The 19560-nt window shown below is 36.7% G+C and overlaps 1 protein-coding gene across 31 annotated transcripts in view; it reads right to left on the reverse strand.

Annotated features, from left to right (window-relative positions):
* COP1 (COP1 E3 ubiquitin ligase) overlaps positions 1–19560 on the reverse strand; it is a 262456-nt gene that overhangs the window by 30772 nt on the left and 212124 nt on the right. For all 31 annotated transcript variants that reach the window (XM_047427793.1, XM_047427798.1, NM_001286644.2 and 28 more), the window contains 3 exons: positions 13760–13877; positions 12686–12810; positions 11341–11501 (listed from right to left, as the gene is read on the reverse strand). In XM_047427793.1, coding sequence (XP_047283749.1) covers positions 11341–11501; positions 12686–12810; positions 13760–13877 — 404 coding nt within the window. The remainder of the gene's footprint in view (positions 1–11340; positions 11502–12685; positions 12811–13759; positions 13878–19560) is intronic.

Raw genomic sequence — 19560 nt, forward strand, 5'->3', positions numbered from 1 at the left:
TGTTGCATGTTGGTTAGGCTGGTCTTGAAATCCTAGCCTCAAGTGATCCACCCACCTCGACCTCCCAAAGTGCTGGGATTACAGGTGTGAGTCACTGCACCTGGCCAACCCTTTTCTCTATATTCCTAAAATAATGATTTGGAAGGACAAAATGAAAAGGAAACACAAGTATGTAAAAACATGAATTTAATGCATAAAGGACAATCATGTACTGGATAAAATAAATGGTTTTCTCTATTCTAAGATGATTAGGAACCTGTTTTAACACAGTAGATACTCTGATGGAGAATGTAAAGTCTACATGATAATTGGGCTTTCCCTACCAGTAAGAACAGTGAGATCTCCATAAGGGATCTTAGAATTTGTTTTGCTATCAATGACATTTCATGCTTTCTATTAGTAAAGGGAAAATCAGTTGTCAGATCTCAAAAATCCAGTAATATGTAAAAGATGTAGAATTAGAAGGTCTCAAAGGTCTCAATCCTTTACAAAACAAAAAACTTTGAGAAAATAAGAATATTGGTAATAAACAGGGACTCTTATTGAACTCTGAAGTTGCAAGGCTAATTTGTTAATTGGGAAAGGTATAACTATTTTATTCTGTTCAGAATATAAAACTATTTTTAAATGCAAATACCCATATAAGTCTCTATATCAATTAGTCATTCTTTTTTTTTTTTTTTTTTTTTTTTTTAGACAGAGTCTTGCTCTGTTGCCCAGGCTGGAATGTGGTGGTGCAATCTCTGCTCACTGCAACCTACACCTCCCGGGTTCAAGTGATTCTCCTGCCTCAGCCTCTTAAGCAGCTGGGATTACAGGTGTGCAACACCATGCCTGCCTAATTATTGTATTTTTAGTGTAGACGGGGTTTCAACATGTTGGGCAGGCTGGTCTCAAACTCCTGGCCTCAAGTGATCCTCCCACCTCAGTTTCCCAAAGTGCTGGAATTACAGGCTTGAGCCACTGTGCCCGGCCTCATTTATTCCTTCTTATTAGTTGCTATTTTGGTTCAGTTTGCACCACTATAGTCCTCTACTAGTACAAACATTAAGGATGATCATGGGAATACAGATTTGGCTGGTTAGCAAAAATATGATAAAGGCATATCAGTATTAGTTGTGAAACTTAAATTATTCTTGGCTGCTACAAAAAAGAATTACATACATTCAGTTACATATTCTGAATCTGACAAAAATATTTAGATAGCTCGTAATGAAATAAGACATTGAACTTCTTATTTATCAGGTTCCATGAGGACTTTTTTTGAAAGTTGTAACAAGTCTTCTTAGCAATTAAAAGAAAAAATGATAAACTCTTGTATCTCCTAAAACAAACATTTGGAATGTTGTGAGAAATAAAAAACACTTAAAGCAAAATCAACTATTAGTATTTTTTTCTCCCAATCTCTGGAAATCATTTCACAAAGATATGTTTGGTGAGTCATGGCATTACTGCTTCAGATATTTAGGATTTAAAACAATAAATTATCAAAAAGGAACTGAATCTTGAAGTCGGATTTACTTTCTACACAATCTATTCCCTAAAGCTTTCTACTTTTATCAGAGAGCAAAAGATCCTGAAGATAAATAAAAGTATGACCAACTGCTTATTTAATTCTCTACAATGTGTAAAGACTTTATCATTTAAACCAAAGATTTAGATTCATTTTCTGCCCTCATATTCATCTTTCAGTTGGCAATCACAATTCAAATAAAGAATATATATTTTCATCCCACTAATCTGCATATCTAGTTAAAAAAAGACTAATGCAAACAGGCACAAAATTAAATGGCTTCTTTACAGCAATTATAACAGATTGACTTTTCTTCAATCTACATAATCAAATTATTCCAGTGTTCAGCAGTAATAACCTTTTTATTTTCCTGGAAATAGCTGATGTCAACCCTGATAGCTTTATTTGGGAAACTGGTGAATAAAATAGAATTTAAGAAATAATGGAATAAGAGATAAAAAAGGTACAAATCATATAAAGATCACATCAATATAGGAGAGTGTCATGAGAACAACAGTGGTTATATGTGAGACTGTACAAGTAAAATACAAAAAAAAGTTTCTTTTCCCCAGACAATCTGTATATTCTTAAATTAGTAAAAAAACCTTTTTTCTTAAGCAACTGCCATCCATTTTCTAAGCAAAACATACTTATTTTTGCTTAGTTAATTCTGCTTTCAGTATTTATTAAATCCATTTTATTCAATTTAGAAAATAATAATGTTTTTCCATTACATACACTTCAGCATATTACACCAATTCAAATAGTATCCATCAAAAGCTTTTAAGTAAAGGAAATAATATCCAATATTCACTTTCCTTCTTTCTACTATTACTATGAAAATTTGGTAGGGATTACCAAAAGATAAACATTAGAAACCAAACTCAAATCCCTTCCCATCTCAAAATATTTTGGATACTTTTTAGCATGGTGAGATTACAATAAAAGTTACTGTTAGGATAATGGCATAATTCATAATACACTCTCAAATTAATATTATTTCTTTTCTTCCCTTAAAAAAGGCAGGACTAAAACCAAAAACAGCAAGTAGCTTAAAAATTGGCATCAATTCTATGCTTCAAGATTGGCATACACAGAACACTCTTTTTAAAAAAGGATTTAATGAGGAAGAAAAGTTAAGAATCATTCTAATGTAGGTCAAACTCTATTACAGAAATATAAAAATGATAATAATGAAAAATTTAAAATGTCAACTAGCAGACCTCATAAATCATATTTTGTTGATTTTATTATAATATTCACCATAAAGTATCTAATGCAACAGATGTTTTCCCAGAGGCTGTCCACACAGTAGTGGACATTAAGGTTAAAGAAAATGTATACTTCCTGTAATTTACTTAGAGAAAAACAAATTACTAGGGTTGCCTCAGTTTTCTACCACCTTCTTATTTCCTTCCTTTTCTACTTCCCCACCCCACTCTATTCTGGATACTGAGGGAAGAGTGAGGCACTGAGGAGGAGATGGGAGTCTTTCTGGAAGTCAGGGTCCATGCTCAGAATCTGCTTTCATTCTACTCCCAAGACAGACAAAAGCTCATTCAGATTGGCCCTCTTCCAGTCAGGGAAATTTTCTAAAGTGTTATAAACAATCCAGTCAGAGGAAAGAAGAAAAGAAAGGAAAGATAAAAGGAAGAAGAGAAACAGAGTTGAAGGAAGACAGAAAGAAAGAGAAGAAGCTTCTATGTTGTCTTCTCCGCACTCATTGAGGAATTTAAAATAAGAAACACCTTTATAAGTGTGGAAAGTTAGTATATTTTTAGGAGTAGCATTTTTTAATTAACACAAATAAAAAAGACCGTATCTTACTTTTTTGGATTTGTTTCTTCCTGAGGTAGGTGAGGGATCAGCAAAATCTAACAGACATTAGGTATTCATAATTATAACTGTTTCTGCTAGCAGATGCTTAAGAACCATTTAGGTTTCTTGGTTAGGATGTATAACAAACTTCTTCCCAGTGGTAACATGATTCATTTGTTCCCAAACATGATTGTTCATATAATTTCCCAAGGAGACCTGGGGAACTTTTCAAAATACAGATCTATACCCTCCTCCTTCCTCCCCCAAAATATGTATTCATGGGTCTAAAAATAGAATTGTTTTGTTAATTGTTTTTGAAAGAGCCCCAGGGTTTTCTGATTATCAGTCAGTTTTGAGAACCACTGGTATAAATAAATTTTATTATAGACATCTTTTATACTTTAATGAAAGCAGACTGGAATACAGTATTGCATGGCTTCTCAAATGTGCTTTACTTTTCTAGTTTACTGAAATCTGATGTTTTACATACCCCAAGAAAATGTTACTAAGAAGCAAGGGATTCCTTAGATAAAACTCACATAAATTTGGAAAGTAGATATGCCTTTAAAAAAAAAAAAGACTGAGTTGTGAAATGTCATAACGTGATGGAGAAGGGAAGGGAGAACATAATATAAATGTAATAAAAATATTAAGCCAATAATAAACGCCTACTTTCTTGTAGCTGCACACATTTAAAAATTTTTGTTGCTTTTGAAAATAGACAAAATGGGCTGGAGATTATATCCCAAGGGGCAAAATGGTATTTTTGAAGTAATTATATGTACATATGAATGGTTCATGTCAGCAAAACTGCTTTTCTTAAATGGTAATTGATTATTACCATTTAGTTTCAAGTGAGCCTATTAGATATTAGAAGTATCTCCCAACTCCACTTCAGCATTTCTTTGATTCCAATTAATTACCATTTAATTATGCAACAGAAAAGATAAAGGCCAAGCTTGAAGTGTTGTATCGTTCATTACAAAAATTATATATTAATTATGCATTATGTACAAACACGCTGTGTAATGCTAGGGGTAATTAAAAATATAATACTAATAGCAAACATGTATCGCTTTTGCTGTGTATCAGGAACTGTTCCAAACACTTTATGTGCATCACCACATTTTAACATTATAACAACCCTAGAAGATAAGTGGCTATTATTATGGGCACTTTAGAGATGAGGACACTGAAGCACCGTGTGGTTAAGGAAATTCAGCAAGGTCACACAGCTGATCAGTGGGGAATCTGAGAGATTTCAACCTAGGTAGCCTGGCTCTGCTCTTACTCAAAATACTATGATGTCTTTTTTTGAGGAGTCTGGAGGTTACATGAACACAAATACAATACAAGACAGTATATTAATTCATTCAGCAAGTATTTTTAAAGGCCAAGAATCAGAAGAAACTTAGGTAAGCAAAACATCTGCTTAAGAACACAGTTTAGTTCAATGTTTCAGAATAGTATTTCATCATATAACAAAAAAGTTTTGTTAGAAATTAGAGAGAATAAAATTTAATGATGTAACTGAAAACAAAGGTGCACAGTTATAACTGCATAGAAAGTATTACAGCATAGTTGATAGGTTCCCAAGCCAAGTTTTGCTGCACTTGGTTTCAGAGAGGGGAAATTTGGAAATCTGTTATCCTGATCCCTGCCTCCCCTAACCCTAAAGCTACAGAAACTTTTAATATGATTCCTGATGTCTCAAGCCACAACAGAAAATGTCCACCCTAATGACCACTGCTTTTTTTTTTGCCTGAGGATAGAGTGTACTTTTTGGGGTCACTTCTGAAGAGCTAAAGGAGTAATAAGTGTCCTTTACAAGTACTGCCTTTTACTATTAGCTATCCACTTAGGATTGGTGAGTAGCTAAGTACGTATGTTACGGTTCAGAGCTGACAAAACAATAATAGGGTATCTGCAGCCTCAAAAGAAGTTACTATGGACTCAGGGTCTACCCCTAACAAAAATATTGTGTCCCTTTACACAGGCATCATCACATAGGAACAAATATATTCATTTGTATACTTAAAACACTTCATATTTCATTCCAATAGTTTCAGATAAGAGTCATATCACAGATCCACAGATACAGAATATATATACGTTCCCTTACCTAACTCCAGTCTCTAGATAAATCAATGTTAATAAAAAAGATAAGACTTTCATCTGGAATCTTTTTCTTTCTGCCCTAAGCATATCCTCTAAGGTTTTCTTTAGTGTAGGTTTGCTGATTGAAAATTTTTCAGGTTTATTTATTTTAAAATGTCTTTATTTTACCACTGTCTAGAGATTTTCACTGGATGTAGAATTCATGGTTTGCAAATGTTTTCCTTCCCACACTATCTGGTTTCACTGTCTGTTGGCTTCCACTATTTCATTGAGAAGTTGGCTGTCAGTCTAACTGACAATATTTTCTCTCTGCCTTCTTTCAAGAATCTCTCTGGGGAAGCCAGGGAGGAAGAAAAAAGAATCTCTCTGGGGGAAAAGATAGTCTCTTCAATAAATGGTGTTGGGAAAACTGGATATCCATATGCAGAAGAATGAAGTTGAGTATCTCACACCATATACAACACTCAACTCAAAATGATTAGAGGCTTAAACATAAGACTGAAAACTGTAAAACTACTAGAAAACATAAGGTAAAAGCTCCATAATGGTCTGAAAAATTTTTTGGCTAAAACTGCAAAAGCAAAAACAGACAAGCATGAATGCATCAAACTATCAATATAAAGCTTCCTCACAACAAAGGAAACAACAGAGTGAAAAGACAACATGTGGATTGGGAGAAAATATTTGCAAACTATTTATCAGTTAGGGGGTTATAAGGAACTCCAACACCTAAACAGCAAGAAAACAAATAACCCACTTAAAAAACAAGCAAAGAACCTGAATAAACATTTCTCAAAAAAAGACATACAAATAACAAACAGGTATATGAAAAAATGCTCAATATCATTAATCATCAGGGAAGTTTAAATTAAAACCACAATGAGGTATCGCCTCACAACTGCTAGAATTTCTATCATCAAAAAGACAAATGACATCTGTGAAGTGGGGTGTGTTAAAAAAAGATGAAAGATAACAAGCGTTGGCAAGAATGTGGAGAAAAGAGAACTCTTGTAACGTTGGTGGGAATGTAAATCAGTACAGCTTTTATGGAAAATAATATGGAGGTCCTCAAATACTAAATACAGAATGGCAATATGACCTAGCAATTACACTTCTGAGCATTGAATCCCACTTCAATTTCAAAAGAGTTAAAATTAGGTTACAGAAAAAAACATGCACACTCTTTTATTCATTGCATTATTCACAACAGCAAAGATATGAAATCAACCTAAGTGCCCATCAACAAATAAATGGATAAGAAAACATGGTATACAGCTGACCCTTGGAAAACACAGGTTTGAACTGTGAGGAACCACTTATATGCAAATTTTCTTCCTCTTCTACCACTCCAGAGAAAGACCAACCCCACTTCTTTCTCCTCCTTCTCAGCCTACTCCATGTGAAGATGAGGATGAAGACCTTTATGATTCACTTCATTTAATAAACAGTAAATATATTTTCTTTTATGATTTTCTTAATAATATTTTCTTTTGTCTAGCTTATGTGGGTTAATTGTTTATGTTATTGGTAAGATTTTCAGTCAACAGTAGGCTATTAGTAGTTAAGCTTTTGAGTCAGGGAATCAAATTATACCCGAATTTTCAACTGAGTGGAGGGTCAGTGCCTCTTGCCCCCACGTTGTCAAGGTTAAACTGTATATAATGGAATACCATTCAGCTTTACATGAACTTGGAGGACATTATGCTAAGTAAAATAAATCACACACAGAAAGAAATACTGCATGATCTCATTTATACGTGTAATCTTAAAAAATTGAACTCAGAGAAATAGAGAATAGAATGGTAGTTACCAGAGGTGGGGGATGGGAGTGGGAGGATGCCAAGATGTTGGTCCAAGGCTACAAAGTTTCAGCTAATTAGACAAAAAGAGTAAGTTTTTGAGATGTATTGCATAGCAGAGTGACTGTAGTTAATAATAATGTAGTGGATATTTCAATATTGTTAAGAGAATAAGATTTTAAATGTTCCCACTACAAAAAAAGCATGTGAGATGACCGATATGCTCATTAGTTTGATTTAATCATTCCATAATGTACATGTATATGAAAATACCACATTGTACCCCATAAATACTTACAATTATTATTTGTCGAAAAGAAAAGAAACTGATGGCTTAAAGGAATGAAAAAGACTCCTCTGATATGGTTTGGGTGTGTCCCCATCCAAATCTCAACTTGAATTCCCATATGTTGTGGAAGGGACCCAGTGGGAGGTAAATGACTCATGGGGGCAAGTCTTTCCCGAACTGTTCTCGTGACAGTGAATAAGTCTCATGATATCTGATGGTTTTAAAAAGGGGAGATTCCCTGTACAAGTTTTCTTCTCTTTTCTGCTGTCATGTGAGACATGCCTTTCACCTTCCGCCATGATTGTGAAGCCTCCCTAGCCATGTGGAACTGCGAGTCCAATAAACCTCTTTCTTTTGTAAATTACCCAGTCTTGAGTATATCTTTATCAGCAGTGTGAAAATGGACTAATACAGAAAATTGGTACCAGAAGTGGGGTGCTGCTGAAAAGATACCCCAAAATGTGGAACTGACTTTGGAACTGGTTAACAGGCAGAGGTTGGAACAGTTTAGAGGGTTCAGAAGACAGGAAAATGTGGGAAAATTTGGAACTCCCTAGAGACTTGTTCAATGGCTTTGACCAAAATGCTGATAATGATGGACATGAAATCTAAGGCTGAGGTGGTCTCAGATGGAGATGAGGAACTTGCTGGGAAATAGAGCAAAGAAGACTCTTGTTATGTTTTAGCAAAGAGACTGGCGGCATTTTGCCCCTGCCCTAGAGATCTGTGGAACTCTGTCCTTGAGAGAGATGAGTTAGGGTATCTGGTAGAATAAATTTCTAAGCAGCAAAGCATACAAGAGGTGACCTGAATGCTGTTAAAGGCATTCAGTTTAATAAGGGAAACAGAGCATCAAAGTTCAAAAAATTTGCAGCCTGACAATGCAATAGAAAAGAAAATCCCATTTTCTGGGAAGAAATTCAAGCTGGCTGCAGAAATTTGCATAAGTAACATGGAGCTGAATGTTAATCCCCAAGACCACGGGGAAAATGTCTCCAGGATATGTCAAGAGGTCTTCAGAGCAACCCCTCCCATCACAGGCCTGGAGACCCCAGAGGAAAAAGTTGTTTCCTGGGCCAGGTCCAGGGTTGGCATGCTGCGTGCAGCCTAGGGACTTGGTGTCCTGTGTCCCTGCCGCTCCAGCCATGACTAAAAGGGGCCAACAGAGAACTCGAGCCATGGCTTCAGAGGGTGCAAGCCCAAAGCCTTGGCAGCTTCCATGTGGTGTTGAGCCTGCGTGTGCACAGAAATAAAGAACTGAGGTTTGGAAACCTTTGCCTAGATTTCAGAGGATGTATGGAAACGCCTGGCTATCCAGGCAGAAGTTTGCTGCAAGGGTGGGCCCCTCATGGAGAACCTCTGCCACGGCAGTACAGAAGGGAAATGTGGGGTGGGAGCCCTCACACAGAGTCCCTACTGGGGCACCACCTATGGGGCTGTGAGAAGAGGGCCACCATCCGCCAGACCCCAAAATGGTAGATCCACTGACAGCTTGCACCGTTCACCTGGAAAAGCCACAGACAATGCCAGCTCGTTAAAGCAGCCAGGAGGGAAGCTGTACCCTGCAACGCCACAGTGGTGGAGGTCTCCAAGACTACGGGAACCCACCTCTTGCATCAGTGTGACCTGGGTGTGAGACATGGAGTCAAAGGAGATCATTTTGGAACTTTAAGATTTGACTGCCCTGTTGGATTTTGGACTTACATGGGGCCTGTAGTTTTGTTTTGGCCAATTTCTCCCATTTTGAATAGCTCTATTTACCCAATGCCTATATTCTCTTCATATCTAGGAATTAACTGATTTGCTGATGATTTTACAGACTCATAGGCAGAAGGGACTTGGCTTATCTCAGATGAAACGTTGGACTTTGGACTTCTGAGTTAATGCTTAAATGAGTTAAGACTTTGGGAGACTGCTGGGAAGGCATGATCAGTTTTGAAATGTGAGGACATGAAATTTGGGAGGGGCCAGAAGCAGAATGATATTTTCATTCTAAAAATAGTTTCCAGTTCTCAGTTAAAATTTTCAATCTTGTCTTTCATCTTGTAAGCATAGCTACTTTCAAGCTGTCTGATAATTTCAATATTTAGAGCTGCTGTGACTGTTTCTACAGTCTGTTGCTTAGGCTGGTTTAATTCATGCTGTCTTCTCTTTTACTATGTCTGTTTATTTTTTATTGTGCCCTAGTTATTGTAGTTACAAAACTAAAAAAAATAAAGCACTTAGATGATCTTATCTTTTTTCAGAGGATTTAAGTTTGCATCCTGTGGATATTAGCAATCAAGGGTCACCTCAATTCAATTTCAGAGATTGATATGAAGTTCAGATGCAATCGCTATGAAGACTTATCTTCTGGTTTCCCCTATAATATACCCCTGTGGGGACTTAAAACAAAGTAATCACCCATACAACGTCAGGCACTGAGCTCCAATCCCTGCAACCCTGTGAAGCTAGTATAAGCACTTTCACCCACCCCACCAGAACTGACAAATGCTCACAGGGGAAAAGTAGATTCAAAAGCCAGGGTCACAATCCAAATCTGGTAATTCTTTCCTGTCTTGTTTGCTTTCCAATGCTTTCAAATAGGTTCTTTTTTTAAAAATACATACATTTGGTCCTTTTTTTCTAATTTTACTTGGAGGAAGGGTTGGTCCAAATTACCTAGTCTGTCAATTAGCAAAACTGGAAATGGAGCCACAGAACTTTAAATAAGACAGCAATAGAATATATCAAATTAAAGTGAAACTATACCTGAAACTTGGATTTTTAAATTACATATCAAGTCAGAATTTTTTTTGTCAAAAACCCAACTAATCACCTAAAAAGCTATTTTAAAAATATGATACTAATAACTCATGTTTATATAAATCAAGATAGTAACAAGAATTATTATTTTCTGAGACAGAGTCTCACTCTGTCGCCCAGGCTGGACTGCAGTGGCGCGATCTTGGCTCACTGCAAGCTCTGCCTCGCGGGTTGATGCCATTCTCCTGACTCAGCCTCCCGAGTAGCTGGGACTACAGTCACCCGCCACCACGCCTGGCTAATTTTTTGTATTTTTAGTAGAGACAGGGTTTCACCGTGTTAGCCAGGATGGTCTTGATCTCCTGACCTCGTGATTTGCCCGCCTCGGCCTCCCAAAGTGCTGGGATTACAGGTGTGAGCCACCGAACCTAGCCTAAGAATTATTTTTTCATATAACTTATGAAAAACCTTATACTTTAAAACATAAGTGAAAAGTTTGAGGCAACTCCACTTTATAAAACCCAGTAGCATAACTGTCTCATCAATATACTAAATATGCTTAAATATTCATATATAAATGTATTTTGTAGACAGCAATTCTACTTTGAAATAGTACTTAATTAGAGGACCATATAGGCCACTATCCTTTACCTGTACCAATTCTTTTTCTCCCTCCCTATTAAAATACCAGCTCAGCTTAATGTTTATCAAGCTTATACTGCACATAATCAATAAAGAAAATGAGACAGAATGCATATTTTGGAGGAATTTCCAGTCTTATAGAAGAGATATGAACAGACAATATGATAATGGTTATAACTGAGATATGCACTAAATGCTATGGGTCACAGAGGGACATTATGACACCATGACATTGCTCTATTACTATGCATTTCAATCACTACCTAAAATGCCTATTGTCTTTGGTGACACATTACAAAGTTTTTTAAAAAGTACATACCACATACCAATTTATATTTTAAAATTTAATCAAACCCTGTGTATACATAATGCATAATATGAGATCCCAAGGTGAAAAAACTGATATGAAAACTTACCCCATCTGGTAGTGCCCTCCAGCACACAGCACTAACAAATTCATTTGTATCATCTTCTTTTCGGTCTTTGTCGAGAACACTTTTGACTGTATCAAACTTAAAAGTTAGCAAAGTCTTAGAAAGTCCTTTATAGTACAGGTAGAGAGAGTTATTTTCACTTCCTGAAAACAAATAATAATAATAGTATTTTAGAATAGAAAAACTCGGAATTAGGACATCACAGTCTAATAGTAATTATCAGCCAAAGTTATAGTTCAAAGATCTTTTATGGGCAAATTTGAAAGGCTAGATCACAGGACTAATTAGAAATCATGTAAGAAAAGGATTCTTGGACAAAAGCTATACTTTACTAATCTAAAGAAACAATCAGTGTTAAATGATACAACAATACTGATAATTCTAAGGCTAAAATTACCCTATAAAATCATTTATAGAGGTTGGTACAAAAGTAATTGTGGGTTTTGTCATTACTTTTAATTACTTTTGCACCAGCCTAATAAGTCTATAGTAGAACCAGAAATATATTATAAGAATCTTAAATTACATTTAGGAAGATTTCCATTTAGAGAGGTAAAAGAAAGTGGCAACACTTACACAGGCAGATTTTCATAGCCTACATAATTTATTTCCATTTCTCAGTATAGGAATTATTCTATTAATGGTCTATGAACTGTATTTTTATTTTTGAGCCATCTATTAAAGATAGAATAATTGTTCCAGATATTTGCTTTGGCAGTCTCATACATATGTGGAGAAAGTCAACTTTGCTGAACAAAGGCCAAGTCATTTAAAAGTATGATCAAAGCTCATCTATTCAGGCATTAGATGTATCAGAGCATTTGAATAATATCAAATTTGATTTTTCTATTTCTTATTTAAATTTGTATAAATTATCAACAATAAAAGCCATAGAATAACAGATCAATGCTATGCAAACAGATTACTTCATGAAGAGAACAGCAGATAGGGGAAAATGAATATCAAGCTTAAGAAGACACATAATGTCTCCAAAATTGGAAATATTACTAACAGAACTTAACCTTTTCTGTCTTCTACACAATATCTAAAGAATTATGTTATAATGGAGAACAACTATAAAACAGTTAAAAATCAGGTGTTCAGGTATTTGAGGTGTTCAGGGTTTCTACACAATAAAAAAGGGAAGGACTAATGCTCTTCTAGTACAACACAAGGAAAATCAGTAGTGCTGGGGCATCATGTCTATTATACTATCTTCTGAGTGCACAGACCATTTCTTGACTTAGTATTTATTCTATTTCCACTGAGTTCAATTTCAATAACAAACACCTGTTAAAAAGTTCCTGGAAACGATGGTTTCACTTACCACAAGCTATATAATCTCCATTGGAAGCCAGGCCTACAAAGTTTTTTTCATTGATATGACCCTTGAAGGAACGTAGGCAGTATGGTTTCCCTACATTCCACAGTTTTAGCTGACTGTCTGTTGAGCTGAGGAAAAGTACAAAGAGTAAGAACTTACTTAAAATTTCTTGGCACGAAACTCATCACTACTAATTAGAGGCAATGCAGTTTGCTGGTTAAGAATGCAGGCTCTGGAGCCAGACTGAGTTAGCACGTTCATCTGTCGGCCAGGCGTGGTGGCTCACGCTTGTATTCCAAGCAATTTGGTAGGCCGAGGCAGGTGGACCACCTGAGGTCTGGAGTTCGAGACCAGCCTGGCCAACATAGCAAAACACCGTCTCTACTAAAAATACAAAAATTAGTCGGGCGTGGTAGCACGTGCCTGTAGTCCCAGCTACTTGGGAGGCTGAGGCAGGAGAATCACTTGAACCTGGGGGGCAGATGCTGCAGTGAGCGGAGATCACACCACTGCACTCCAGCCTGGGTGACAGAGCGAGACTCTGTGCCAAAAAAAAAAAGTTTTCTTTTCAACATATTTAAAGTCACCATGAAATCACAGATAAATGACCATGTCAGTGTAAAAGCCAACCAAGTAATATTTAAAACCAAAAATAATTCTACTACTATACTGCAAGTAGATAAAATACACAGTAACACATGAGTTGACTTTAATAAATAAAATACTTCTCATTCTATTGCATCAACTATGTTGTTTATCTCTTCTTTAGAAGCAATAGCTAAAATCTAATCTGAAGTTCAAATGCAATTAAACATAGGAGGATGAGATAAGGGGGGAGGGTATATAAAAAACTAGTATCTTCAGGATTTTACCCACAATTCACATATAAAAGTGCACAATACAGACCAGAAACCACACTACTTTAATTGGACAAGATTAAAAAAAAAATCTACTATTTAAGAAAAAGTACATATACTCCAATATTATAGTTTACATACACCCTCAGTGACATTACAAGCTGGTAGGTAAGTACAGAGCTCTGTATTAAGCTCAACCTCTGAGGAGAGTAATACTCACGCAGAGACAATTTCCTCACCACTCACAAACTTTGCATAAGAGACTGCTTTACGGTGTCCTTTGAATACCATGATTGGCTGTTTAGTGTTACGAAGATCATAGTAGTGGACACAGTGATCTAAAACAAAACAAAATTAGATAAATGTAGTAAATGCAGAAATGGAAAGCAAAGTTAATTTTAACTGGTTTTTGGTTTTTTCATTAAAAGTTTCACATATGATGTCTAATCTCTAACAGCCAGAAAACAAAGGAAAAGGAATCCTTTTCAAATATAAGATTGGCTCTAGAAAGAGAGTATTAAGGGGTCAAAATAACTGGAAACTTAAAAATCAATCTTTGTTTTAATGATGTCATGAAAAAAATGTTAATATAAACATTATGGGACATCTGGATAAACATAATGCTATATAATCTTATTTCCCATATTTGTTTTAAAAAACCATTATTTAGATATATTTTGCATATAATAAAATACACACACTAAAAATATTGTATGCAATTCAACGATCTTTACTAAATTTAACCAGCAGTTCAACTATTACCATAAATCAGTTTTAGAGTATTTCTGCACTCCGATAAGATCACTCATTTGGCATCCACCATCACAGGCAGTCTCTATTCCTGTCTGTCTCTATCACTAATTTCTACTCTAACCTTTATTATTTCCTTCCTTCTGCTTGTCTTCAGTTAGCTTTGTTATTCTTTTTAAAGACAGACACTTAAGGATACACAATTCTCTATCAACACTGCTTTGGCTGATACCACAAATTGTGATATGATGTGTTTCCATTTTCATTCAGTTTAAAATCCTTTTACATTTCCTTTGTTATTTCTTCTTTGACTAATGGTTATTTAGTAATGTGTCATGTAATTTCCAAATACTTGCAGATGTCTCAAAGTAACTATTGTTGATTTTTAATTTAATTCCATTTTGGTCAGAAAACTGTTTTGTATGTCTTCAATCATTTTAAATTTATTGACAGAAAACTGTTTTGTATGTCTTCAAGCATTTTAAATTTATTGACTTATTTTTAGTCTTAAATATGGTGTCCCCTGGAGACTGTTACTAACACTTGCTTGAGAAGAATGTGCATGCTTCTACTGTTGGCTGAAGTGGTCTTTGGATGTCTGTTATGTCAGATTGACAATGTTATTCAAGTCTTCTAAAACTCTGCCAATTTTCTGTCCAGTTTTTCTATGAAATATCAAAAGTGGAGTATTTTTCAACAACTTCAGTCAAAATATCTGTTTTTCCCTTAAATATCACAGATTTTCTTTTCATATATCTACAAAAAGTTTGTTTTGAGGTGTGTTGATAATTGATGTATCTTTTCACTATTGATTCTTTTACCATTATAAAATGTCTTTGTTTCTAGTACTGATTTCTACTCTAAGTATATTCTGTTCGACCTAAATATAGCCATTCTACCATTTTTCTTGACTACTACTTACATGGTATATCTTTTTCCATCCTGTTACTTTAACCTATTTGTGTCTGTGAATCTAAAGTCTATCTCTTGTAGACAGCATAAAGCTGGATTCTAATTTTTTTTTTTTTGTAAACCCATTCTGCCAATCCCTGAATGTTACAACATTCAACATACTTACATTTAATATAATTATTAATAGGTTGCACATCTGAAATCAAAAAATCCCAAATCCTTGCTTTTGGAGTGCCAACATTTCAATCAAAGCTCCAAATGCTTCTTCATTGGAGCATTTCAGATTTTGGATTTGAGATGCTGAACAGTAAGTACAATAATACATACTTAACAATGGAGATACATTCTGAGAAATGTATCATTCAGCAATTTCATCACTGTGTGAGCATACAGTGTACTTTCACAAACCTAGATGGTATAGACTACTACACACTTAGGTTATGTGGAATAGCCTATTGTGCTCCTATGCTACAAACCTATGTATCATGTTACTGTACTGAATGCTGTAGGAAACTGTAACAATGGTAAATATTTACGTATCTAAATATAGAAAAGCTACAGTAAAAATAAGATATAAAAGGTAAAAAATGGTACACACCCATACAGGGGACTTATGATGAATGGAGTTTGCAGGACTGAAAATTGTTTTGGGTGAGTTAGTGAGTGGTAAATGAACATGAAGGCCTAAGACGTTAACAGTATACCTAGGCTACACTAAATTTACTGTAAAAAAGTGTTCTCCCTTCAGAAATAAATCAACCTTACCTTACAGTGATTTTCTGACTTTATAAACTTAAAAAATTTTTAAAGCTTTTTGACTCTTGTAATAACACTTAGCTTAAAACACATACATTGTACAGCTGGACAAAAGTATTTCCTTTTTACATTTCCTTATAAGTTAAAAAATTAAAATAGGAAAAAGCTTTTTAAACTTTTTTGTTAAAAACTAAGAAACAGAAAGTTAGCCTAGGTCTACACAGGGTCAGGATAATCAATATCACTGTTTTCACCTCCACGTTTTGTCTCACTGAAAAGTCTTCAAGGGTAATGATATGCATAGAGATGTCATCTTCTCTGATAACAGTACCTTTTTCTGGAATGTCTCCTGAAGGGCCTGCCTGAGGCTGTTGTATAGTAACTTAAAAAAACAAGTGTAAGAAGTACAGTCTATAATAATGGTAAAAAGTAAATAATAAACAAGTATATAGTTATTTATTATCTTTATCAAGTATTGTGTAGTATACGTAATCGTATGTGCTAGACTTTTTGAACATTTTTAATTTTTTTTGAGTATTATAGTTGGTATATACACTTATGTGGAATATGAGATGTTTTGATACAGGCATGCAATGCATAATAATCACATCATGGAGAATGGCGCACCTACCTCAAGCATTTATCCTTTGTGTTACAATCTAATTATACATTTTCAGTTATTTAAAAATGTACAATGGGAGGTGGAGGCAAGATGGCCAAATAGGAACAGCTCCAGTCTACAGCTCCCAGAGTGAGCGACGCAGAAGACGGGTGATTTTGCATTTCCATCTGAGGTACCAGGTTCATCTCACTAGGGAGTGCCAGACAGTGGGTGCAGGAGAGTGGGTGCAGCGCACCGTGCGCGAGCCAAAGCAGGGTGAGGCATTGCCTCACTCGGGAAGCGCAAGGGGTCAGGGAGTTCCCTTTCCTAGTCAAAGAAAGGAGTGACAGACGGCACCTGGAAAATTGGGTCACTCCCACCCTAATACTGCGCTTTACCGACAGGCTTAAAAAATGGCGGACCAGGAGATTATATCCCGCACCTGGCTCGGAGGGTCCTACGCCCACGGAGTCTCGCTGACTGCAAGCACAGCAGTCTGAGATCAAACTGCAAGGCGGCAGCGAGGCTGGGGGAGGGGCACCTGCCATTGCCCAGGCTTGCTTAGGTAAACAAAGCAGCTGGGAAGCTCGAACTGGATGGAGCCCACCACAGCTCAAGGAGGCCTGCCTGCCTCTGTAGGCTCCACCTCTGGGGGCAGGCACAGACAAAAAGACAGCAGTAACCTCTGCAGACTTAAATGTCCCTGTCTGACAGCTTTGAAGAGAGCAGTGGTTCTCCCAGCATGCAGCTGGAGATCTGAGAACGGGCAGACTGCCTCCTCAAGTGGGTCCCTGACCCCTGACCCCCAAGCAGCCTAACTAGGAGGCACCACCCAGTAGGGGCAAACTGACACCTCACACCGCCGGGTACTCCTCTGAGACAAAACTTCCAGAGGAACGATCAGAGAACAGGACTTGCGGTTCACGAAAAGCCGCTGTTCTGCAGCCACCGCTGCTGGGACCCAGGCAAACAGGGTCTGGAGTGGACCTCTAGCAAACTACAACAGACCTGCAGCTGAGGGTCCTGTCTGTTAGAAGGAAAACTAACAAACAGAAAGGACATCCACACCAAAAACCCATCTGTATATCACCACCATCAAAGACCAAAAGTAGATAAAACCACAAAGATGGGGAAAAAACAAAGCAGAAAAACTGGAAACTCTAAAAAGCAGAGTGCCTCTCCTCCTCCAAAGGAACGCAGCTCCTCACCAGCAACGGAACAAAGCTGGATGGAGAATGGCTTTGACGAGTTGAGAGAAGAAGGTTTCAGATGATCAAACTACTCTGAGCTACAGGAGGAAACTTAAACCAAAGGCAAAGAAGTTGAAAACTTTGAAAAAAATTTAGACGAATGTATAACTAGAATAACCAATACAGAGAAGTGCTTAAAGGAGCTGATGGAGCTGAAAGCCAAGGCTCGAGAACTACGTGAAGAATGCAGAACCCTCAGGAGCCGATGAGATGAACTGGAAGAAAGGGTATCAGTGATGGAAGATGAAATGAATGAAATGAAGCGAGAAGGGAAGTTTAGAGAAAAAAGAATAAAAAGAAATGAGCAAAGCCTCCAAGAAATATGCGACTATGTGAAAAGACCAAATCTACGTCTGATTGGTGTACCTGAAAGTGATGGGGAGAATGGAACCAAGTTGGAAAACACTCTGCAGGATATTATCCAGGAGAACTTCCCCAATCTAGCAAGGCAGGCCAACTTTCAGATTCAGGAAATATAGAGAACGCCACAAAGATACTCCTCGAGAAGAGCAACTCCAAGACACATAATTGTCAGATTCACCAAAGTTGAAATGAAGGAAAAAATGTTAAGGGCAGCCAGAGAGAAAGGTCGGGTTAACCACAAAGGGAAGCCCATCAGACTAAGAGGGGATCTCTGGGCAGAAACTCTACAAGCCAGAAGAGAGTGGGGGCCAATATTCAACATTCCTAAAGAAAAGAATTTTCAACCCAGAATTTCATATCCAGCCAAACTAAGCTTCATAAGTGAAGGAGAAATAAAATACTTTACAGACAAACAAATGCTGAGAGAATCTGTCACCACCAGGCCTGCCCTAAAAGAGCTCCTGAAGGAAGCACTAAACATGGAAAGGAACAACCCATACCAGCCACTGCAAAATCATGCCAAATTGTAAAGCCCATCGAGGCTAGGAAGAAACTGCATCAACTAACGAGCAAAATAACCAGTTAACATCATAATGACAGGATCAAATTCACACATAACAATATTAACTTTAAAGGTAAATGGACTAAATGCTCCAATGAAAAGACACAGACTGGCAAACTGGATAAAGAGTCAAGACCCATCAGTGTGCTGTATTCAGGAAACCCGTCTCACGTGCAGAGACACACATAGGCTCAAAATAAAAGGATGGAGGAAGATCTACCAAGCAAATGGAAAACAAAAAAAGGCAGGGGTTGCAATCCTAGTCTCTGATAAAACAGACTTTAAACCAACAAAGATCAAAACAGACAAAGAAGGCCATTACATAATGGTAAAGAAATCAATTCAACAAGAAGAGCTAACTATGCTAAATATATATGCACCCAATACAGGAGCACCCAGATTCATAAAGCAAGTCCTGAGTGACCTACAAAGAGACTTAGACTCCCACACAATAATAATGGGAGACTTTAACACGCCACTGTCAACATTAGACAGATCAATGAGACAGAAAGTCAACAAGGATATCCAGGAATTGAACTCAGCTCTGCACCAAGCAGACTTAATGGACATCTACAGAACTCTCCACCCCAAATCAATAGAATATACATTTTTTTCAGCACCACACAACACCTATTCCAAAATTGACCACATAGTTGGAAGTAAAGCTCTCCTCAGCAAATGCAAAAGATCAGAAATTATAACAAACTGTCTCTCAGACCACAGCGCAATCAAACTAGAACTCAGGATTAAGAAACTCACTAAAAACCGCTCAACTACATGGAAAGTGAACAACTTGCTCCTGAATGACTACCGGGTACATAACGAAA

Source organism: Homo sapiens, chromosome 1 (genome assembly GCF_000001405.40).
Source record: "Homo sapiens chromosome 1, GRCh38.p14 Primary Assembly".
Lineage (NCBI taxonomy): Eukaryota > Metazoa > Chordata > Mammalia > Primates > Hominidae > Homo > Homo sapiens.